Here is a 24,706-nt window from a genome sequence, read left to right as displayed (position 1 = left end):
CACAGTTTTAGGACTAAAAAATAAATACAATATCTGAAATTTTAAAAATTCACTCCATGGGTCTAACAACAGAGTAAGATGATGAAAGATTACTGAACTTGAAGATAGAGGATTAGACATTATTCAGTCTAGAAAATGGGAAGGAAAAAATTGTTGACAATGAGCAAGACTCAGTTACCTGTGGGATAGTATCAAGCATTCTAGCATAAGGGTAATTGGAGTCACAGAAGGAGAGGAGAGAGAAAATGGAGCAGAAAATAATCATTTAAGAAACAGTGATCAAAAATTTCCCAGGTTTGTGAAAGACAGATGAGAGGTAATCAGATCACATCTTCATGTTTCAACTAGATTCCAGATTAATTCAAAGTGCCATAACAGAGCCCTCTGATCATTGCAACAAGTGGGCAAGTATATCAAGTTCGTGATTTTGCCTCCCATGTATCTTCTAAGAGAGAACCATGCTGCACTGCAAAACTGAAACCAGAAGATCATGTAGGAAAACACCTACAAAACAAAGTGACATAAACAAACATGAGTGCAGACTCTATTAATGAGTGCCACAGAGCTGTGCTAAGCCTACGATAGATAACATCAAGTGTGTGTATTGCTACAGAAAGTTCAGAGTCATTCTGGCTTGATGGACCACAGTCCTGCCGTGTTGCCACGTTTGAGCCAAGTTCAAGCCAAATACACTTCAGACTAAAAGCAATTTCAGAAGCAAGTTCTTAGTATCTCCGTAGAACAGGGGTCAGCAAACTTCATCTGTATAGGTCTAGAGAATAAATATTTTTGCCTTCGCAGGCCACATGTGGTCTCTGGCATATTTTTTTCTGTATTTTGAGTCATAATCCTTTAAAACATGTAAAATTTGTTATTCGCCCTTGGGTTGTCCAAAAATAACCCCGCAGGCCAGACATAGCCCACACGTAAGAGTTTGCTGGCCTGTGTTTTGGATTATTGCTTACTCCCGTTTTGCCCACTGAGATATTGGCACCACGCTCTCAGCATGAGCCAGAGCTCTGCAGGTATTAGCTCAGGGAATGTATTTTCTTATTATACAAAGGAGGACGTGTTAGAATTCTGAATTTCTTTTTATTGTGTAACTTGATAAATATTCGATTTCTGCCTCCCCACCACTTCTCTTTCCCACTTCCTTACACTCCCTTCCTGACTGTAAAATCATGTGAATCAGACTTAAAGAATGAGTGGAATTACTTAGAGCAGAGAAGAAAATGAAATTGAAAAACAGGAGAAAATAGCACCTAAGATCTGCCTTAGAGACTGTAGACAGCAAGTGCCTGGCTCCCTGCCCCAGGCTGGTTTTGTTTGCTCATTTGTTGATTTGTTTATTCTGAACCATCTGACCTTGTACTTTTTCTTAAACTGGATATGCGAGTGCCATGACTCATCAAAGAGGATTTATTGTTTGGCTAAAGAAATGTATGATCTGATAATAGATTTTGAAGCTCTTGCAATTCCTAACAAGATAGATCCGTGCGTACATACATACACATACATATATACATACACACATGTAAATGTATCTACATGCACCATATACATATATATATGTATTATGTACAGTAGTTCCCACTTATTTGCAGTTTCACTTTCTGTGGTTTCAGTTACCCGTGGTCAACCATTGCCCAAAAATATTAAAAGGAAAATTTCTGAAACAGTTCATCAGTTTTAAGTTGCTTGCTGTTCTGAGTAGTGTCATGAAATCTCACACCATCCCGCTCTGTCCTGCCCAGGACGTGAATCATCCCCTTGTCCAGGGGATCCACAGTGTCTCTGCTCCCTGCTGGTTGTCACTCAGTAGCCATCTCAGTTAGATCAACTGTAGGGTGTCGTAGTTCTTGCGTTTTACTTAATATTGGTCTCAAAGCACAAGAGTGGTGATGATGGCAACTCAGATGTACTAAAAAGAAGCTATAAAATGCATCCTGTAAGTGAAAAGGTAAACGTCTTCAACTTAATAAGGAAAGAAAAACAAATGTATGCTGAGGTTGCTCAGATCTACAGTAAATGAATCTTCTACCCATGAAATTGTGAAGAAAAAGAAGAAAGAAATCTGTGCATAGTATATACAGGGTTCAGTACTAGCCTTATTTTCAAGCATCCACTGGGGGTCTTAGAACATATCTGCCACAGATAAGGGAGGACTTCTGTACAGCTATTATACACACACAAATATTTGGACAACAAAATTTGAATTATTGCATGGCACGATCTAGTTGTCATGAGTCTTTCATAAGAACCTATGGTTACATGGATTCATGCTAGTAAGTGAAGAAAAGTAGAAAACCTGACCTTAGGAAATGAGTGCCAGAAAATCGGGGAGATTGGACACACAAGTAAAAACTGCACCTGGGCAACAGGGTAAGGTGGAGATGTGGAGGGTCTGGATTACAAATGGCTGTTTCAGATGGGGTGGCATGAGTGGAGGACAGAGCCTGGAACCTGGAAGAAGCGCCCAAGAATCCCATGGTGTGAACTTTATTAAAGAAGCCAGAATGCAACCCACTGTTGAACCTGGCAAGGTGAAAGAGCCTTTCTATGTTATTGTTACTCTTTGACCTTTAAAGTGGCAGAGATGTTTGTCTTTTTCCTTTATACTTTCCTTTATTTCTCCTGATCTCCCTTTAATTTTCTTCAACCCTTTTTCCATTGAGTTCCTGACAGTTTCCTTTGCCTTCCCAACTGCACACCATTAGCACCACTTTATTCTAATCCTAGCTCTGTGGATACTTCTCCCAAACCCTGCTGTAACCATATGGAATCTGGAGTCTGACACGCATGGCAGATGGCGTCTCCCCAGCATCTCACACACCAACACAAAAACATTGACAAACCTGACCCTGACATTGGCAGGCATGGCAGAAATCACAGATCAGCCCAGCTGTTATGGCCATGGCCAGCAGCCTTCACCTTGCTAACCACAGTCTGCAGGGAAGAGGCCTCCCCATCATTCAGCATCCAAAGAGCAGTACTGTGTGACGAGACCCTTGAGACCCAGCCTCAGGTGGTCCTGGAGCAAGGAGGCAGGGGCTGCCAATGAAGTGGACACGTCCCGGAGCACAGACCTTGTGCTTTACCAGATTTAACATTTTTGCAGTCTTTAAGAGCTTATTAGCCACTTGAAAAAGGCCATTCCAAGTTATTAGATATTTCCCTATGGTATTTATGATTTGAACTTCTTCCCAGGCAGTACATGCTGTACTGTACATTGAATTAGAGTGATTCAGAAAAGAACATTCAACATCTTACTGGCAATTGAATTGAATAGTCATTTGCAAGGAAGCGTATTTGGTTTTTAAATGTGTTCTCCTTCCTCAATTATCTTAATCAGGCTGGCCTTATTTGGGGTTAAAATGGAATGGAATCCCTTTTTATTAAAGCATATTTTGTGTGTGTGCACGCGTGCATGTATGAGAGACAGAGAGAGAGACCATGACTTAAGAATGAAGCCTGGAATACGTGGATCTTTAGCTATTGCCACAATCTGAAAAGATATGGTTTTTTAATCAATTTCTTGCTAGTCTGAAACATAAACATTTTCTTTCCTGTCTTTTTCTAAAATAAAATAGGTAAATCTAATTGTGACTAATACCTGTGGTGTATTACATGCCTTGTTGATGGTATGTGAGTGGGGAGGAGAAATTTAGATTGCCAAGATGCTGGAACTTTTTCTGACACAAATTTCAGGATGTCACCTGTCTTTAAATTAAATGTTAAGTTTTAAAGCCTTACCTTATTTATCTAAATTAAGAAACATTCAAGATGGAGGACAAGAAAGCATTTTCAGAGGTTTTTTTTTTTTTTTGGTCATTTGACCATCCCTTCGTTTGATCATTACAGAGGATGAGAGAATGCCCTGGTACCAGGTTCACAGGTGACAGGATTTCTCCTGTTGGGAAATGCTTTGCATGTAGGCTCTGCAACCCATCAAAAGAGATCCTTCTCTCTTCCTGATTTTTCTGAGTAATAAAATATGAAAACCATCAAGCACTTGATGTTTCCATTTGACTTTTTATGTCACAGTTACAAGAAAGGACAAGTAAAGGGAAAAGGTGAGATTTAGTCTGAGGAATACTGAAAGAACAACAACAGCCGCTGCCCCAAAAAAGATTACAAAGCGATCTCTCAGAAATGAAGGGAAGCTGTGTATTCTCCAGGTTCTGGAAGAAACATCAGCCCACAGAAGAAATGGCTGTGCAGTAAGGGCAACAGTGGAAGGGTTCCTAGCTTGTGGAATTGCTGAGGGTTTCAGAAATGAGCTTGGATATGTTGGTGGCTGCGTCTCAAAACGGCCCTTTCCCCTTGGGGTCTAATGAAGGTCATTCTTGGCGGACTCCTCTGCTGGCTGACTCTTACAGCAATGAACAGTCCACAGATAAGAATGATTCTTTTCTCCTTCTGAGTGTATACTTATATACAAATACATTGAAAGTAAAAAGATGGAAAAAGTTATATCATGCAGACAGAAAGCAGGAGTGCTATACTAATACCAGACAAAAAGATTTTTTTAAAAAAACTACTAGAATACAGACATTTTATGATGATAAAAGGGCAATCCATCAGGAAGATACAACAATTATAAACATATGAGACCCTAAAATACATGGAGCAAAACTGACAGAAATGAAGGAATAAATACCTAACAGTAATAACTGGAGACTTCAATACCTCACTTTCAGTAGTGGATTTTAAAAACAAGGTGTATCAACAAGGAAATAGAAGACTTAACAGTATAAACCAACCAAACCCAATAGATATCTATAAAACACTCCACCTAACAACAGCAGAATTTGCACATGGAACACTATTCAGAATAGATCATACACTAGGCCAGTAAATAAATCTAACAAGCACAAAACAATAGAAATAATACTAGGTATGTTTTCTGGCCACCGTGGAATGACATTAGAAATCAGTAAGAGAAAGAAGTTTAAGAAACTCATAAGTACATGGAAATTAAACAGTACCCTTCCTAAACAACCAGTGGGTCAAATAGAAATCACAAGGGAAACTAAATCATATTTTGAGATGAATCGAGGTGAAGGCACAATATAACAGAACTTAGGGAATGTGGCTAAAGCAGGCCTTAAGGGGAAATTTATGGCTGTAAACACTTATACTGAAAAAGAAGAAAGATTTCAAATCAGTAAACTAACCTTCCATGTAATGATACTGGAAAGAGGAGCAACAGAACCTAAAGCAAGCAGAATGAAAGAAATAGTAACATTCATGCAGAAATAAATGAAATAAAGGGTAGAAAATAGTACAGCAGAATAATAAACCAAAAGTTAACTATAGGAAGAAATCAACAACATGGACAAGTCTTTAGCTAGATTGGCCAAGAATAAAAGAAGACGTAAATTACTAAATTAAAGAACGAAAGCAGGAATGTGACTACTGACCTTACAGAAATAAAAAGGATTGGGAATGAACACTATGAACAGCCGTATGCCCTAAGTTAGATAACTTACAGAAAGTGGACAAAGTCCTACACATAAGCAGGCTACTGAAACCGAATAAAGAGCATCTGCCAAGAACCCACAGCCAACACCATACTTAAAGTGAAAGACGGAATGCTTTTCTCCAAAGATCAGGAGCAAGACACAGTATCTGCTCTTACTATTTCTATCCAACATTTTATTAAAGATTCCAGCCTAGGCATTTACCCAAGTAAATGAAATAAAATGCATCCATGTTTGAATAGAAGAAGTAAAACTGTCTGTATTTACAAATGACATGATCTTGTATACAGATAATACTAAGGAATCTCTAAAAACTATTAGAACTAATAAACAAGGTCTGGATGTTTACAGATGTAAGATCAATAAGGAAAAATCAATTGTATTTCTGTATAGTATCAATTAAGTGAAATTAAGAAAAAAATCCACCTATAATAACATCAAAAAGAATAAAATACTTTGGAATAAATTTAATAAAAGAATTTTAAAACATATTCTGAAAACTACAAAAATATCTCAAATAGACATTCATTTTCATGAATGAGAAGACTTGTTAAGATAACAATACTCTACAAATTGATCTATAGATTTAGTGCAATCTCTATCAAAATTTAAGCCATCTTTCTTCCACAAATGGGGACATGTCGCTAAAATTCATATGGAATTGCAAAGGGCCTCAAATCATCAAAACAATCTTAGAAAAGAATAACAAAGTTGGAGTCCTCATGCTTCCCAATTTCAAAGCTTACTGTAAACTATAGTGATCCAGACAGTGTGGCCCTGGCATAAGGATAGACATAAAGAACAATGGCGTATAACTGACAGTCCAGAAATAAATCTTCACAGTTACTGTCAACTGCTTTTCCACCAGGGTGCCAACAGCAATCAGTGGAGAAAGAATAGTCTTTTCAAACAAATGGTGCTGTGACAACTAGCTATCCACATGCAAGAGAATGCAGTTGGAGGTGGGGCGCATTGGCTCACACCTGTACTCCCAGCACTTTAGAGGATTGCTTGAGTCCAGGAGTTCAAGACCAGCCTGGGCAACATGGTGAAACCCTTTCTCTACAAAAAAAAAATACAAAATTAGCCTGGTATGGTAGTGTGTGTCTGTAGTCCCAGCTACTTGGGTGGTGGGGGGCAGGCTGAAATGGGAGGTCGAGGCTGCAGTGAATCTAGATTGAGATTGCACCACTGCACTCCAGCCTGGGTGACAGAGTGAGACCTTGTCTCAAAAAAAGATAAAGGACAATCAAAGAATGGGAAAAATATTTTCAAATTATATATCTGATAAGGAACTTATATGAAGAACATCTAGGCCAAGCATGGTGGCTTATGCCTGTAATCCCAGCACTTTGGGAGGCCGAGGCAGACGGATCTCCTGAGCTCAGGAGTTCAAGACCAACCTGGGCAACATGGTGAAACCCCATCTCTACTAAAATACAAAAAATTACTTGGGTGTGGTGGTGCATGTCTGTAGTCTCAGCTACTCAGGGGACAGGCATGAGAATGGCTTGAGCCCCAGAGGCGAAGGTTGCAGTGAGCCGAAATTGCGCCACTGCACTCCAGCTTGGGCTACAGAGTGAGACTCTGTCTCAAAAAGAAGAAAAAAAAAAAAAAAGGAATACCTAAAGAGCTACTACAGCTCAATAATAAGATGACACAGAACCTAATTGAAAACTGAACAAAAGATCTGAACAGACATTCCTCTAAAGAAGGTATATTCAGCATCCTTAGCAGGGAAATGCCAATCAAACCATATGATCACACTCACTAGTGTGGCTGTGATCGAAAAGACAGATGATAACAAATGTTGATGAGGATGTCGAGAAGTCAGGACTTTCATACTCTGGGATGGGAATACTAAATGACACAACCGCTTTTTAAAAAAAATCTGGTAGTTCCTCAAAAAGTTCTGCTTGAGTTATTATTCAAATCAGCAATTCCAGTACTATGTATATACCCAAGAATGATGAAAACATGTCCACACAAGAGCTTGTACACAAATGTTCATAGTATTATAATGGCTAACAGGTAGAAACATGGCACATGTTCATTCACTGAAGAATAGACAAAATGCAGTAGATTCAGGCAGCGCAATATTATTCAGCCATAAAAAGGAATGAAGTTCTGGCACAGAGAAACCCTGAAAACATGCTAGGTGGAAAAAGCCAGACACAAAAGGTCACATGTGAAATTCCATCGAGATGCAATGTCTAGATGAGACAAAATCGGTAGAGATGGAAGGTAGATGGGTGGGTGCCTAGTGCTAATGAGGAGGGAGAGGGATGGAAGTGAGGGTTGATAACTAAAGGGTTACAGGATTTCTTTTGTTGTAATAAAAAGATCCTAGATTGTAGTGAAAACCATTGAATTGTGCGCTTCAGATGGTTGCATTGTGGTATATGAGTTATGTCTCAAAGCTATTAAAAAATGAACTCACAAAAAAGTGCGCACTTACGGTTGCAGGCTCTCGAGCTAAGGAGAGGCCTCCCGCAGGCTCCCGTGAGTGCAGAGGCTGACACACCAGCCCAGAGCTCACGATATCTCGGGACTTGGGGCAGTGGGGACAGTCAGGAGCCTGTGCTAGAAAGGTCCTAATTGTCACTTCTCAAGCAGGAATCAGTGGACCTTGTTTAGTGGCTGCCTTTATCATGCTGGGCTGCTTCTCTCACCCCTTCCTCTGTCCTTTCCCATTACGCAGTGCCGGCTTCTCCCAGCGCCTCTGTCCTAAGACAGAGAATTTGCCCAGTGTGGTCCGTTGCCCTTCGGCAGGCCCTTTCACAGTGCACCTTCCCCTTGCTGCCTCTCTGCACCCTCCTTGCCTTTCCCCTGGAGGGGCTTTCCTGCAAGTCATGCACCCACCATGGCTGCCATTCCCAAAGACTCTGACAAAGAAGCCCTACTGCTTCTCCCTGGGCCAGCCATCATCTTTGCAGCCTCATAGAAAAGCCATCCCGAGCATCACATTGGAGACACCCTCCCATAGGCTGGTTGGGTTTGGAACTGAGAGTCAAGGATTTTCTTTCCCCATGTTCTCTGTGCTTCTCACTTGCAAGGGAGCCTGGACGGGACCCCCTATGTCTCTGAGCAGTAGCTTGTACACTCATAACATGCAGAGAATAACAGTATTCTCTGCATGTTATTTCAGCAATAACTTGGTGAGTCGTCTCTTCATTTTCTAGGTTATTTCTTTTTCATATTTATACTACTTACTCCCAGGTTCTTGCAGGATTTGACATTGCTTAATATCGGCCTGAGCCCACCTACCTTAGTACTGGACAAGATGAAAAAGGGTGTTGTAAACTGTACAGGGAGGCCAGTCTCTGGGGGTCCCTCTGGAACCACGCAGACCCGCCTGTCCTCCTGGTGGCCCCAAGCTAGCCCCGAGACTCGGCACACCTGAGGATCAATGCTTAGATTTGCTCACCCCAGTCAGTGAAATCCTACCCTGAAAAAAGTGCCATCCTCCTTTTCTCCTCATCCCCTGCACCTCTGCCTCAAACCCCAAAACAGAAACATAAGGATAAGAATGAGCAAACATTACACACTGGTGAGACAGTGAAAATAAGAACGTAACCAAAGTCGTGGCCAGGATCCCTTCACACACAGACAGGGTAAGTCTTTCCTCGATAATATATGTACTCTGGAAATACTCCAGAATTAAAATTAATGTTTTAAAAATAACTGAGCACATCCCTTATGATCACGTTTTACATCTGTTCCTTTCTAAGAAACCATTTGAGACCTTCTAGAAAGACCTCACATAGGCTGGATTCATAAACATTCAGGACTGCCTGTCAGAGCTAATATGGTGAAACCTGGGTCATTTCTAACCATCTAGAGCATTGCTGGGGAACTGCATGCCTGGCCTCTGTTCAAAGGTATTGCTCTTTTGAAAGCTGAGCACCCTGAGTACCTGAGGGTTGCCTTTTTACAAATGTTCCAAGTGCTTGAGTTTTCCCCATGGAGTATGACATTAATCTTAGGTCCCCGGGGTGATGGGGCATTTGCTGGGAGACAGGCAGGTTCTCCTTTTCCAAGGAAGGTGGCCTTCCAGCTCTGTGTGCCTGCATGTTTATGCTAAGGGGATTATTAAGGAAAGAATAGAATGAAACATTTATCAGTAAGCTAAGGGCATTGCACTGGGAAGGAAGAGGCTGAACCTGTTTTAACTTTTTCTTATGTGGGAATGAGTTTATCAGGTCCTTTTCCAAGAGAGGTTTTAATGCTGGAGGAATAAGGAGAACAAGTAGGTGTCGGGCACACGAGGGAGCAGGATGGAGATATCTGAAGCCACCAGTGGCCCTTTCTCCAGTTCTGTTTGGGACATTTTCCGAGAGGGACTTAGTGGCTTAAATGTCAAAGGAAAGAGTTTGCAAGTGGACTGTCTGGGACTGCTTGTCGGCCAAGGTCACAAACACCAGTTCTGATAGAAACAATGGTGTACACGCGGGGTCCTTCTTCCCAAGCCCAGCAGTGGCATCCCCTTTCTGCAGGGGCTCACTGTGCTCTTCAGGTGAGGCCAGGCATCCAGCCTGGTAGTGGCAGGTGCTTCCCAGGCTGCAGACTGCATGCTCTGCAGCCTCCTTGTTGGCCGGCCAGGCCTCTGCACTGTGTACACAGTGACCACGGTCACAGCACTGCCTCCCACAGCACGGCCTGTGCCAAGATTAGAGGGAAAGGGGATTCCGTGGGCATGTCAGGTAGGGAAGTGCTGGCTCAGACAGCCCCACAGGTCTGAATCCTCCATGGTCTCTTGCCAGCAGACGCACTGTTGGTGTGCCACTGTGTGCTGTGAACCACTTTGAGAATCCCAGCCTTGTGCTTCTTCCCAGGAGAATTGTAATCCTGGAGTCTACCTTTCCTGGAGCTTCTGCAGAAAGAGGTGCTCTCAGCAGCAAGGTCAAGGCACTGTGGGCTCACAAGGGCTTGGAGGACCCTATACCTTCACTAGAAAAGTAAACACAGCCAACCTCTTTCTTCCATTGGATAGAGCTAGTGTATAGTGGAAGGTAAGGAGACCATCCAATAAGCTGATGGCATCACTGCCAATCAAACTGCTGTCCCCACCAGTCTCCCAATCTGCTCTGAAGCCATGGCTGTGGTGTGGAAATGGAAGGAGGTGATCGTGGCACCACTGGCTTCTAGAGCACAATTGGGCCTTGCTGGGCCACAGAAACCAGATCTGAACTTGCCCCAAAAAGATAAGAGAATATAGAAAGAATGTGGAGTAGCTCCCAAAATTGAAGAGACACCGAAAAGTTGGTCTGGGAGAGAAGATCCCCGAATTGGCTGGAGCAGCTCCTGTATCCACTCCAAAGGTCACTCTGCTCAGAACCCAGGTTCCTGCAAAGTCTTATCAGTCTTTCTCAGCTCATGTGCTCTCCTGTTGGCCAACAAACGGGAGCATGGTAAAGAAAACCGAGGTGTTCTCACCTCTCACCAGAAGAAGGAAGATGACGTGAGACAGGCAGAAACTATTAAGTCCTATAGACAGGCTAAGGTCATGATCTAACCAAGACTGAGAAATGAAGACTGTCCAACCCATTCTGCTCTCAGCTAGAATGAGAGCAGGCAAGTCTGTTAGCAAGAGGGCTACTGTACTGGAAAATCCCTGTGTACTGGGAAAAGCCAGCCCAACTGGAATGTTACTCTTGGATGGGAACTTTCAACATCAGCAGCTGTGTGATTCTCAAAGCATGAGAGTTTTTTTTCCAAACCCTTCATGACTGGGTGTGGTACAACCTGTTACCAAATCCAGACTTATCCTGGTTATTTTAACCTCAAGATTGTACCAACAGAATCTTCAGTCCCCAGAGTGTAATTTGATCAGGTGTGATGGCTTGGGAAAAAAATAAAAATGGGTGCAGTGGACTCATCAGCTGCTGGTTCAACCCTGTTCACTGGGCCTTCTGCTTCCCGTTGAGAGCTTAGTTTGGACCCATAAATTCCAGAGAACCATTTTTTTTCTCTCAAAACAATACTTGAAAATGATTATTGTAAAAGTAGAGAATTTTAAAACTCAGAAATTGTATTCTTGCTAAGACGTAAAGTACAGAAGCAGCAGAAAGGCAAAGCTCTTTGGGAATGGGCCAGTTCACTGTTGCTCATCAGCAGTAAGGAGAGAAAGGAGGAAGTGGCTGCTGGCTGTCTCGTGGGTTAGGTAGCCCCACAGTCCCTCTGGAAAGTCGACGTATTCACCTCATTTTACAGATGAAGACTTCGAGACGCTTAGTCATTAAGTAGCTTTCCCAGCTCATTCTGGTAACAGAATGCAAAACAATGTTTTCCTCCTTTAAATCTTACATACTTTCTGCTTTCTCGTTCTCATTTTAAAAACAGTACAGCCTGCTTCTGCCATGGCATTAAAAAGAACCCTTTTGACCAAGGCAGCTCTAAATTGATATCCAAAAGCGGGGCAAGAGAGTCATCAGACAGTACTGTAGTGGCATTTAACTCCGAGTGCTATCAAGGGGAAGCTGGAGTGGTTCCTTTCCCTGGAAGTGAAACTCGCAGCCCAAAGGCCCAAAGCTCTGGGATTAAACACTAGAGCAATTTTTCAGAATGCTGTAGTTAGTTGGTTTTCTGGCTTGTTGTTAGTGTTATCTGCACCCATACTAGAAAAGAAATGAAAATTCAGGACATATCTAACATAAGGGGTTCAATATGAAGGTGGTTTCCCAGGAGACCTGGGGAGATTTGGGGTTGAGGCAGTGAGAGGTGCTGACGGGTGCCTTCCTGGACCTCTGAGACAAGCACACTTTCTACCCATGCCTAGCTGACCTTGAGCTTGGAGGGGCTGGGAGGGACTCTCAGTCAGACCCCAAGTAACCAGTGATGCAAGTTGGCAGGCAATGGAGGAGAGGTGCGTCTGTGTCCCAGGCCTGAGATTTTCTGGATAAGGAACTAAACCTTTGATACCCGTTCAGGAATCAAACCCACAGCTTCTGAAACCTCCATGCTGTCCTCTATGGGTAAGTAATGCATCTACCTGTACCAAGTGCCGCGTATAGACAGGACACCTCCGTCATTCCTGTATGGTCTGTGTGACTCTGTTTCTTTAGTCTTCCCTTTCTTTTTCTTGTTCCTCTTCCCCGTAAGGGCAAGGACCTTATCAGTGCTCAATTCACTCAGCAAATATTTGTCAGGAACTTATTTGTAGAACCAAGCTGCCACACGGTGAGTACTCTACAAATATGGAAATCACTGGGTGTGCAGCTTAGTCTCCAGTGCCCAGCAGCGCCTAGAGCTTAGTAGGTCTTAGTAAGTCATTTGAACAGATAAATGGATTGTTTGATACTGGTGGAGGGAATGTGCCTCAGTCATCCCAGAATTGCTCATCTCTATGGTTAGCGGCATTATGTCGAAAATGAGATTTCATTCCGGTGGCATGAGCATTTACCCATTAGGGGACAGATGTCTGGTCTGGACAGATGCTCCGTTGATGAAGGGGTGGAAATCAGAGGCTGGTTTAGGACCCTGGTGTATGTTGGATTGTCTTCTAGTTAAATCATTCACCCTCTCTAGGTAGAGCCTGTGGTCGACTTTACCCATGCTGTGTCCTACCCATAGCCCACCTTGACTTCTTCCTCTAGTCCTACTCATTCCACTCTCAGCAGCAGTTTCTGCAGACATATTTTAAATCTTTCCTTTACCTGCTCATGCTTTACAGCAGCCTTTATTGAAATGGATTTGTTTAAAGTTGGAAGCAATAGCAAGATCATCATCTACTTATCATGTAGAGGCAGGAAGACATGCAATTTGTTAGGTTCGGTAGCTAGCCAGAAAAAGAATGAAATGCTCCATCCATTTCACCCAGGGGCAGCTTCACATGGTGGGCATTGAGAGACTGACCTCAGGTCCCCACCTCACCCCTAGCTGCATGCAAACCCACGGGCAAGTTACATGATCTTGCCATCTGTAAACATGGGAAATGAGAACATCTGTCATAGAAGTCTTGAGGAGATGAAGTGAAGTAATGCCTATAAATTCCTTCACCCCGAGTCAGCACTCCGTGAACGCCAGCCAAAACTATCATCACTGCTCAACTACAAAACTATATCGATGATGAACATCAGCCAGCTGTTGGACCCCAACATTTTGTGGGTTATCCATTATTTCGTAAGACACTCCTCACACATACACATGTGAGCGTGCACACACACATTTTTAATACAGTTATAACTACATAATCTAAACCCATGCTGGTATTTTCCAGATAGTAAAAGATTGCGGGCAGGTCCCAGAGTATACTAACATTCCCCTTCTTGTCAGAACAAGATCATATAATTTATACGTATTTCAGAGTAAATTGCAACAGCAGAAAAGTCTTGAGTGGTTCATTTCTAACCTCTTGAATGCTTCTGAGCTCTCTACTTGTGAACTTTAGATAGTATCATCAGCAGGATGGGGGTAAGACTAGGGAAGGAAAAAGGATCATGGGAGGGTCTCAGCATCATTCAAACCCGAAGATTGGATTTCAGGCTCAGCGCGTGACTAGAGATTTCACAGATGTGCCATGCCCAGGTGGCTCATTACAGACCACTGGAGCCCTGGTAGGGGGAGCGTGAGGAGGTTGCATTTGTGGGTGGATGTGAAAGGCTGGTTCCTGCCAGCACTTCTGTCTGCTAACCTGTATTTGGGTTTAAATACCACTGAAGGAAGGAGCCTGATGAAATTGAAGTACATAATTTCCAAAAGGAATTCCTTACGACATTAAGGGCAGAAATTAGCACTGAGGAGGTAATGAACGTGCCCTGGCCCACACCGTGCACATGGCTCAGTCGTGTTTTCCTTCCACGACTCTTAATCCGCTTCCTGGGAAGAGGATGTTCCCTGGCCAGGGGGAGAGAGCTTTACCCTGAATCATGAGAACAGGGAGGGAAAAACATTTCAGCTGCACCTGCCCAGTGAGTTGTCAGGGAGGACAAAGGGTGATCTGGGGGCCAGCACCTCTCAGAGAGCTGATCCGAAGCAAGGCTCAGGCCTCGGGTGATTATTTTCCCAATATGTCTAGTGGCTCTACTGTGCTGAAATCCCCAGGAGACTGGGTAACTGACAGAGTGCTGGGCCCCACTCCCAGAGCTTCTGATTCAGTACATCCAGAGTGAGACCTGGAAACTTACATTTCTAGCTAGGGCTCTGATAGCACTCATGATGCTGGTCCAGGGACTGCATTGAGAACCACCAGCATATAGTAACGAAGGTCCCTTGACATTTTAACTCAGAAAGCATGGTGGAAATCACCAGATTTGGTGAATTGGGTCCCATGACTTGAATCTAACAGCAGATGCAAAAATCCTTCAGTAGAGATAGAGTATGGGGCTTATCTAGGAGGGAAAGGTAGTCGGTTACCTCATCTCCTGAAGACTTCAGGGCCCAGAGCCCAGGCCACTGAGGGGAGAGAGCCACAAAGCAGAGACCTAACCAAGTGGAGACTGAAGGCAGGACTTTGCAGGAGGCTCCAGGCGTTGCATGGCAGCAGCTCTGGTGACTGGAGCTGGGGATGGAAATGAGGCAGCCGGATGCCCTAATTGACAGACAAAGCACTCCCCATTTCTCCTCTCTCTGGCATAAATGGATGAATGAAAGGACTCATCACCCTGACTTTATTTCTTACAAAGCAGGAAGGTTTGTGACAACCTGGGAAGCAACGGCCATTTTGTTTTGCAGTTTGCCACAGTCAGGAAAGGAAACCGAGCAGGGTTAAATTTAGATCCCTATGTTTTGAGAAGATATTAATAGAATAAGTAAAGGTCAGAGTAGAGGTAGTTTTGTTCCCACAGCTACAGAAAGTCAATACAGCTCAGCACCAAGCGGAAATCTGGGAAGATTCCATTCTGACTCCATAATCACAACTGACCCAACAAGACATAAGATGGGAGACATACTCAGGACTAGGGGTTCACCCTGGTGGCTCAGGGTGAACCAGATGGAAAGACCCAAGTGCACTGAGGCATGCAGCAATGGGAGGGAGGAAACAGTTTGGAGCCTTAGCAGGCAGCTCGGGCCAGACAGCGAGATGTCCGCAAACAGCCTTGCTAAGAAAGGTTTGACAAAGATAACTTTTTGTGGTTGTTTTAAGTTAGCCCTTGAAATAAGGAAAACTGAGAAGGAGATGCCTGTTAAGGCTAAAAGTGACAAAAGGCAAAGTGCAGGTTCACTGCTGCTTTTCAAAAAGGAGAAGGAGGGTAAAGGTAGAAGGCAAAGGTAGAAGAAAGCAGGCAAAGAGCATGGCAGCTCAAGAAAACTAAGGAGGGAACCCTGAGAAGCAGAAGCAGTAGAGTGAGGACTCCAGCAGCCAGGTTCCCATCTCAGCCCCGCTGCTGCCAGCAGGGGACCTGCAGCAGGCCACTCAACCTGTCTGTACGACAGGGGACTGAGAGAGTTCCTACCTCAGAGGGCTGTCATGAGAATGATGCGAGCTAAGAGAAATAAATGGCTCAGGACAGTTCCTGGCACACAGTAAGAGCTAAATTTGTCATTTTTATGATCACTGTTATGATTTTCTAGAAGTGTCCAAAACCCCATTCCAGGACAAAATCCAATCCAAGATGCTACAGAACTTTACAGCTGTCATCTCTGAGGCTCTGCTGACTGGTTCTGAGAAATCACAGCAGACAAGAGCAGAGCCAGTGGTCTGAGGGCTGGGTCTCAATTTCCCAAACAGATAAATGGCCGGGTCCGAAGAATGCCGTTTCAGAGTGCTGTCAACCCCTGGCACAACTAGAGGATGAGGGATGATTTAGGCAGATGGTTTGCATGCATTTTTGAAAAGAAGGCTGCATGAGTGCCCCAAATGTGCGAGGGTTTAATGAGAACATTCTGCGCCTGTCTGACAGTGTTATTGGGGTGGTGGGTCAGGTCAGCAGAGCACTTAGTAAGCTTCCCATGATATTATTATGGATGAAGCAGGGACACAGATGGCAGCTGATGGCTCATCACCCAGGCACTACAGTTCCTAGAGGGTCTGTCTGTGGCTCTGCCTGTACAGCTTGTCAGCAGCCTCCTGTCATGTGACTTCTCTGGGTAGGGCTCCCCAGTGGGGACTGCCATGGGGTCAGGAGACTCCACAGAAATGTGTGGCTATCAAGTGGTAGGACTCGTCTCAGAACGGGGCACTCATTCTACTCCCCAGCCCACTCCTTCTGACTCATGAGACTCAGACTCCCAGTTCTCAGGGTCTGCATGATGTCCTCACAGATCAGACCAAGATTTTATAACTAGCTAAACTATCCTTCGAGTATCAAAGCTTTAGAAAAACAATTTTAAGTAGACAAGAGCTGAGGACGCTGTATCCATGAGCCCTTCTTGAGGAATTTACCGGAGCAGGAATCAGCAAACTTTTCCAGTGAAAGACAGATATTAAATATTTTAGGCTTTACAAGCTGTATAGTCTCTGTCTTAACTACTCAATTCTATTGTAGCACAAAAGCAGCTACAAACAATGTATAGACAAATAGACAGGGCTGTATTCTAATAAAACTGTATTCACCAAGACAAGTATCAGGGAGGATTTGGCCCTCAGGCCATAGTTTGTCAATCCCACTACTATCATAGGATGCCCTTCATCTAACCAAGAGATGACTAGGGTCAGCGGTAAAAGGGCTGATGGTGAGCATCTTAGGATGTTTAATTGTGGAGCTAAGACTAACACAAAGTTAGATACAGGAATGAAAAATAATATGTAAATGTTATATGCTCTGACAAAATGAAAAGAATGCAACTAAAAGCAATAGAAAAAAGAGTAGAATAAAAGAATAAAAAGAAAGAAAAAACAGAAAGCAGGAAAATCAAATAATAACATTTGTCGTTGTTTAGAGAGTGGGTGGAAGTCAAGAGATATCATTAAAAACTGATAAACCAGGTAGTAAAAGATTAGGAAAGAGAGACAAAGTGCGTTTTACAAAGGTATGAGTACTTCTGCACCTCCCGACTGTTGTTCACCCTGTTCTCCCTGCCCATAATGCCTTCACCTGTATTCTCCACTTGTACACATTAAAACACAATGTGATACCACTGACACACCCACTAGACTGATTGAAATAGAAAAGACAGATGATAGTATGTTTTGGCAAGGACGTGGAGCCATTGGCAATCTCTGTCATTGCTGGTGTGAGTGTAAATTGGCATAACCACTTTGGAAATCTATTTGTCTAAACATACAAATTCTCATGACCCAGAAATTCTACTCCTAGATTGTTTCAAGGTGGGCAGAGCTATGCAGACATTCCCCAAAGTCTGAGGAAGCTGAGAGGCCAAAGAGGCTGACAAATCCAATTTCTTAGAAAGAAACATTTAATAGGGACTTAAAAACAGAAGCCATGCCTGTGCCTCGGGCAGCAGCAAGACAAGATGGTGGATCCCCATGCCATTGTCCCCCAGACCCAGGTCAAGGAATGGTTCAGATGCAATTTGTAGGACAACTGAAGTGTGATAGCATAAGGTTGTTTGACCTAAGAGCACAATTTATGGTATGTGCCTGCTTTTACACAAGCAACAGTAGATAAATTGGAAATCTCGGAGGCCTTCCTGGAACTACAGTTAGTCAGTTAAGCCAACATGGCGGATAAGCATTCAAGATGGAGTTGCTTTAGCCTCCCATTTAAGATGCAGTTGCTTTAGCTTCCACATAGGTGTATGCCAGCAAGTTGTACAAGACATGTACAAGAATGTTCAGCACAGTGCTAGTCATAAGAGGCCAAAACCTGAAACAACCCAAATGCACATCCACAGTACAATGGATGGATTGTGGTCTAGTCATACAATGAAATACGACACAATGATGAAAATAAACTATTGTTCTACAAAACTTGGATCAGTCTCACAAATAAAGAAGCTAGACACAAAAGACAAGAGTGCCTGCTCTGTGAGTTCATTTATATAAAGTTGAAGGACACGCCAAACAAACCTGTGATGGTAGGAGTCAGAATTGTTGGGGGAGGCTCATAACTGAGTATGAGGAGGCCTTCTGAGGTTCTGGTAATGTTCCTTTTCTTGATCTGAGTTGTAGTTACAAGCCTTGCTTTGTGAAAATTTCATCAAGCTGTATACTTATAATTTATATACTTTTATGTATTTATGTGATACTTGAATAAAACTATCAAAAATGGTTGGAGTAAAACAAAAACAAAAACCTATAGATACCAAAAAATAAATAAACAGTAAAGAAATAACATCTAAAAAACACAGAAAACACAATAAAATATACACAGTAATTATAATTAAATACTACTACAAAGTTGAGATCAAGTGTATTGGAATTGGCCTAGCTTACTGGTTAAAAGAAAAAAATTTTCTTTTTCTGAAAGAAAAGGCGTGGTGGCTCACGCCTGTAATCCCAGCACTTTGGGAGGCCGAGGCTGGCAGATCACCTGAGGTCAGGAGTTCGAGACCAGCCTGGCCAATGTGGTGAAACCCTGTCTCTACTAAAAATACAAAAAAATTAGCTGGGCGTGGTGGCGAGTGCCTATAATCCCAGCTACTGGGGAGGCTGAGGCAGGAGAATTGCTTGAACCCTGGGGGTGGAGGTTGCAGTGAGCCGAGATCACGCCACTTCACTCCAGCCTGGGCAAAAGAGTGAAAGTCTGTCTCAAAAAAAAAAAAAAAGAAAAGAAAAGAAGAGAAAAAGATTGTCAAATTGGCTCACAAAGACCCAACTATATGCTGTATGCAAAAAAACACACCTAAAAGAAACCGATTCAAAAAGGCTAAAAATAAAGGTATTCCAGGGAAGCAAAAACAGTAAGAGAGCAGAGGTAGCAATCCTAACTTTAGACAAAATAGACTTCAAGCCAAAAAGCATTAAATGTGGCAAGGAAACTTACATTAAAAGTCTTAATTTATAATGAAAATATAACAGTTATGAATATTTATGCTTCAAATAACACAGCAGCCATTTATATAAAGTATAAACTACAGGAGATACAGAGAGAAATGTATTGGCTATAGGAGACAACATTAGCGTACCACTCTCAACCCAAGACCGATCTCCCTGACTGTGTGATCCTGAGCAGGTTACTTCACAGGAGCTCCCCGCTTATCTAATTGGGAATCAAGTGAAGACTAAAGCACACAACATCTGGCATATAGAAGGGTCCAGTTAGTGTGGTTCTTATTGTTTATTTACTTGAAGCAGGTCACATTGCAACTAGACATGTATTTGTCAAGGTCACGTGCTAAGGAAACATTGACCGGCAGGGAACATCCAAAGCAGGGGAGTGGGGTGGAGGGACTGTAGCCTGGACACTGCTGCCTCTTAAGGAACAGCTGAAGGGCTACATGCATAGGCAGAAAGAAGACACAAGGGATACATAGGAGGACTTTTGGAAACCTTGCCCCTTCACAATGTAAAGCCTTCACAAATGTAAAGCATCGTCACTAGAGAACAAGCATACCCAACAGGCTAGTGGGTCAGGCATGGCCGGGTCATAGTGTAATGAGATCCCCATCACGGAGAGATCCAAGCACTCCTCCCTGGCCCTCTGAATGATGTTGCTCAACACTTTGGATCCAGGACTTCCATTTGTACCCTGTGGAAATCATCCAAAATATGGACAAAATGGGCACCTACCCAAATGACCAGGTATGCACTGGTTCAGTAATGTATGGCTCTATCTATATGACAGAGTAATATGCAAGCATTAAAAAGTTAATCTTTAGCACTTTGGGAGGCCAAGGTGGGAGGACTGCTTGAAGCCAGGAGTTTGAGACCAGCCAGGGCAACAAAATGAGACAACATCTCTACAAAAAAAATTTTTTAAATTAGCCAGTTACAGTGACATGTGCTTGTAGTCCCAGCTATTCGGGAGGCCGACGCAGGAGAATTGCTTGAGCCCAGGAGTTCGAGGCTGTACTGAGCTGAATTGTACCACTGCCCTCCAGCCTGGGTGACAGAGCAAGACCCCATCTCAACAACAACAACAAAAAAAAATCAACCTTTAGAAAAGATTTTTGATTGCATAGGAATTGCTTCGCTATCAATAGCGATGCACAGTATACAAAGATTTGTGGTATGACATCAACATCAAAGGAAGATGTTTAGGAAGAAAGACTAGGATCATGTGTGTCCTTTGGTTCTCTCGCTATTTTTTGTACTTTCCAGATTTTCTACAATGTGCATGAATTAAATTTATAAGTTCTACTAAGCAGAAAATACGGCAATAGAAGAGATAAACTAAAGTGAGTGAGAATAGCCCAAGATGCCCTGGAGATCAGCGCAAAGATCATTTTTGTAAGCTCCAGGTCACTTGTCAGTTTTCTTCATAGAGAACCATGGAATTTAATTAAATTTAGAAGACATTCATGAGGTCCTTAAGAAGCACGAGGCTCTGTGCTAGAGTCTGACTTTCAGAAGAGATAGGGAGAAGGCAAGGACTTGGACAAGGACCATCCACAGCAAGATGTGACCAGGCTTTTGTGGATGAAGAGAGGAAATCTGGACTCTGAGTGGCCCCAAATACAGTTATTTCACCAGGGAGTGGGATATTCTCTACAATTCTGTGAATAAAATTTTCTTGGCCAGGCAAAGTGGCTCACCCCTGTAATCCCACCACTTTGGGAGGCCGAGGCAGGCAGATCACCTAAGGTCAGGAGGTTCGAGACCAGCCTGACCAACGTGAAACGCCGTCTCTACTAAAAATACAAAAAAAAAAATTAGCCCTGCGTGGTGGCAGGCACCTGTAATCCCAACGACTCAGGAGGCTGAAGCAAGAGAATCACTTGAACCCAGGAGACAGAGGTTGCAGTGAGCCAAGATCACACCACTGCACTTTATCCTGGGCAACAAAAGTGAAACTCCGTCTCAAAAAAAAAAAAAATTTTTTTATTTTGTTCACCTAAAAACAAAAGTTGACAAGGGAAAACATCACACAACTTGGTTCAACAAGACTTGATGGAAGAGTCTCTTTTCTCAGGGTCTTGAAGGCAGAATGGCAGCCAGCCAGTCTCCTGTGTGCCTCTTGCTGAGAAATCCTTAAAGCCCGATTAGACAGAAACATCTTTGCAGAGCAGACCTTTAGGAAACTGTTTTTGAAAATTCAAGAAGAAGCAGTGCTCCGGTGAAAACAGATCATGTGACAAGATACTTGCTGAGCAAAAGTCTCAAAAGCATATGGATGAGTGAATGCCATCAGCTTCATACAGCCAGAAATAAAATGAATCTCCTTCCTTTCTGCTTGGAAGGCTTACGGACGTGGTTTCTGTAGCTCATTAGCTATTAAAATTATTAACAAATTATTATTTTCAGTTGAAAGTGGTTACGGTATTCATTATTCCTCCCATGCCAAGACTCTCTGTAATTTACTCAGAACATGAATTATCCAAAGCAATCCAGAGTTTCTAAATAGTTTTGGACCGGGTTCACTGCCTTTGGCTCAGCAAACCTGTCAGGGCTGGGTGGCTAAAGGTCTCCGTTACATAATTTACTGGTAACTTAATTGAGACTAATTACTGTGTCTCATTTGCCTGCCTGAAGAACATCTGCCCGGCAGCTGCTGTAACTGCGTTTGGTTGGGGTGTTTGAATCTTTTTGTGATGTGAAATAAAGGGCATGAATATTTTAATGTAGACTTATCCCACTGTCACTTTTTATAGGAAACTGCTGGTTGTTTTATTGGCCAGCAACATTAATACGAACTTTCTCTCCAGTGTGCCAGAGCCGAGGTTTAGGGTGGACTCAGCACACGCTGCCTTAGTGGGGTCCACCGCCGAGGAGGAGGTGGGGGCTGTGGCTAAGTCAGCACATGGGGTTGTGGTGCACGCAGCTCCTGGACTGCTCTGTGATATGCCTGCTGGGGGCCTGCATCCATCCAGAAGGGGACACTGGGTGATAACAGATTGACCATATAGGATCAATCGTTGGCACATCCACGTGAGAAACAAATGAGTTTCAACCCATTTCACAGATGGAAAAACTGAGCCCGGGGAAGTTTAGTAGCCAAGGTCAACAAAGACTTAGCCTGGGAGCCCGAACTAGATCTGAGCCTCTTGACTCCTAGGAGCACCCAAGCCATAGCAAGGTCAGGATAGTCTTGGCAGGAACGGTATCATTTAGGCCATTTGGAGAGCCTCAGATGAGCCAGCAGTGGAAGAGAGAACATCTAGGACCTGTGGAGGAGCAGGCGCTTGACATTGGCCAACCGAGAAATGAGGAGGGCGTGCAGGCAGAGGGACCGGTGCCAGCATGTCTGAGTGAAGGAACAGCCAACAGCCTGGGAGGGAGGAGCACATGTGGCTGGCCAGGGCCAGGGCGACAAGGCTTGTTCCCCTTACCTTCATCTACCCTGGTACTTCTTTTTCTTAGTCCAGAGTCTTATTTTTGTTTCTCTGCATATATTCCTGAAAACAGCTGCAGTCCTTGGGTGGCACTATGAAGGAGCGTGGACTGAACGAATGAGTAAATCATCAGACTGGCTGGGACCGGAATGCTGGGCTCAGGATATGGAAGGCATTAGGTACTAGGGAGCCGTCGAAAGTTTCAGACTGGAGCTGTGGCAGAGAAGCATAGGTTACTTGGAAGGGAAAAGAGATTACATGTTTGTTTTTGGGGAGGCAGTGCAGTTAGGAGACTGTTATGGCACCCTAGCGAAGGGTGGCCATGGATATGGGGAGGGGAAGGCAGATTTGAGATCCTTCGTGGTGGTTGGCTTGGTGGGACTTAGTGGTTGCTTGAACGTGGCACAGAGAGCAGTCCAAGATGACGCCCAGATCCTAACCCTGCATGTCTGGTCTTTGGAAAGGAAGTGGCCACTAGGCTTCAGTGATGGGGACTAGCAGAGTGGTCTGTGACACGCACACCCACCCAGAACCACAGGCCTGGTGGGACTCCCTGCTATCCTCTAGGCTGGTGAACACATCGGCCTGAAGCCTCCCAGGTGGAGAGTCAGGGGTCCCCTATGCCCTGTTCCCTAGTATCTGAAGGAACATGGCATAGATAAGGTCCTCAAACAGTTATTTGTAAGTGAGCCATGAGAGGGAAGAAGCCACAGACTGAACCAAGGAAAGAGCCAAGCTAGCTTAGAAAATGGGGGAGGAAGGAGATAGAGAAGTGGAGGGGAGAACAGCGAAGCTCCCAGCACTGGAGAAGCCCAGGAGGAAGCAGGAGAAAATGAGGAGGAGAGGCTGCCAGTGACAAAGCTGTCATCTGTACTAAAGATGATTATGACACGTCATGGTCTCCAAACACCCTTAGTCACTTGAGTCAGTGCATGGAGATAGACACAGCCGAACGCCAGCCACTGGGTCAGGATGGGCGCCCTGGGCCTCAGCCGTCTCCACATGGCTCTAGCCTGGATGTCTGTTGCCCCTGGGAAACCTCTTTTCAAGTTCACCATGAACATGGACTTTATAAGCCATAACTACCAGGGTCACTGCTTCTAACTTAGCAGCAGCATGTTGAGAGGCACCAGGAACTCAAAATAGACCCACGGAGGGTCACCTTGCAGCTTGTTGTCAGGGGCCTGGCTGGCTCCTGATGGCTCTGGGGGAGTCAGGGAGTGAACCTGCAGCTTGCAGTTAAAGGTAGTTGTGGGTGGGGATTCAGGCAGAGCTGTGAATTCCCTTGCTCGTAAAGCTGCATGCCAGAGCCCCAGGCAGCCAGCTCAGTCCTGTTGGAGCCCTGCCTCTGCCCCTTCGAACACAGTTGCTGAGGGAGCGCTTCCCCTGTGTCGCCCTTACAGGACAAGCGAGCTGCCTCACTCAGACTGCTGAGCACCTCCCTACCTTGCCCCAGGACATTTTCTGAGATCCTTGTCAAATTCTGAATATTTTCATGTCCAAAGTGGAGCAGCAGCGGGGGTGGAATGCTGGGGAGGTCTGCTTGTGTGTTTTCACATTGAATAATTTTGTGGGGCCGGGCAGCTGGGCCAGCAGGGCAGGGCCTCCCACTGGTGTTAATCCGTCCCCTGGGTGTTTTCTGCAGCCTACTTGGTTCAGGACTTTGGTGTTTATTTCTGATGGGTACGATTCCGGCTGCTGTCCTGGGAAAACTATGCCACGTCATTATGCTTTGGGAGTCTTTTTTTTCCAAATCTTAGGACAAGAGGCTTGGGGCTAACCTGTTAAGTTAGCATGTGTGAGTAGTAGGAATTTGGTGATCAAAACAAAGAAAGCAATGACAAGGACCCGTGTGCAGGCCAGTGGTGCAGAATCATCTCCAAGTGTGAGCTGGAGGGAGATGGGCATCTGGCTGTTGGAGCTTAGGCTCAGAACCACGGCAGCTGCTG

General features: G+C 44.0%; 1 protein-coding gene across 11 annotated transcripts in view, besides 1 other annotated feature; it reads left to right on the top strand.

Annotated features, from left to right (window-relative positions):
* Positions 1 to 24,706, top strand: part of ADAMTS17 (ADAM metallopeptidase with thrombospondin type 1 motif 17) — a 370,539-nt gene that overhangs the window by 297,470 nt on the left and 48,363 nt on the right. The gene's annotated exons all lie outside the window — the stretch shown is intronic.
* Positions 23,908 to 24,202: a silencer, noted in NCBI's record as "tiled region #8829; K562 Repressive non-DNase unmatched - State 23:Low". NCBI's record gives its function as "represses a minimal TATA promoter and a strong SV40 promoter by Sharpr-MPRA in K562 cells {active_cell/tissue: K562}" and the evidence as "EXISTENCE:reporter gene assay evidence [ECO:0000049][PMID:27701403]".

This window comes from Homo sapiens, chromosome 15, assembly GCF_000001405.40.
Source record: "Homo sapiens chromosome 15, GRCh38.p14 Primary Assembly".
In the NCBI taxonomy this organism is placed as follows: domain Eukaryota; kingdom Metazoa; phylum Chordata; class Mammalia; order Primates; family Hominidae; genus Homo; species Homo sapiens.
Note: the sequence above shows the minus strand (reverse complement) of the source record. Positions and strands in the feature narration are given on the sequence as shown.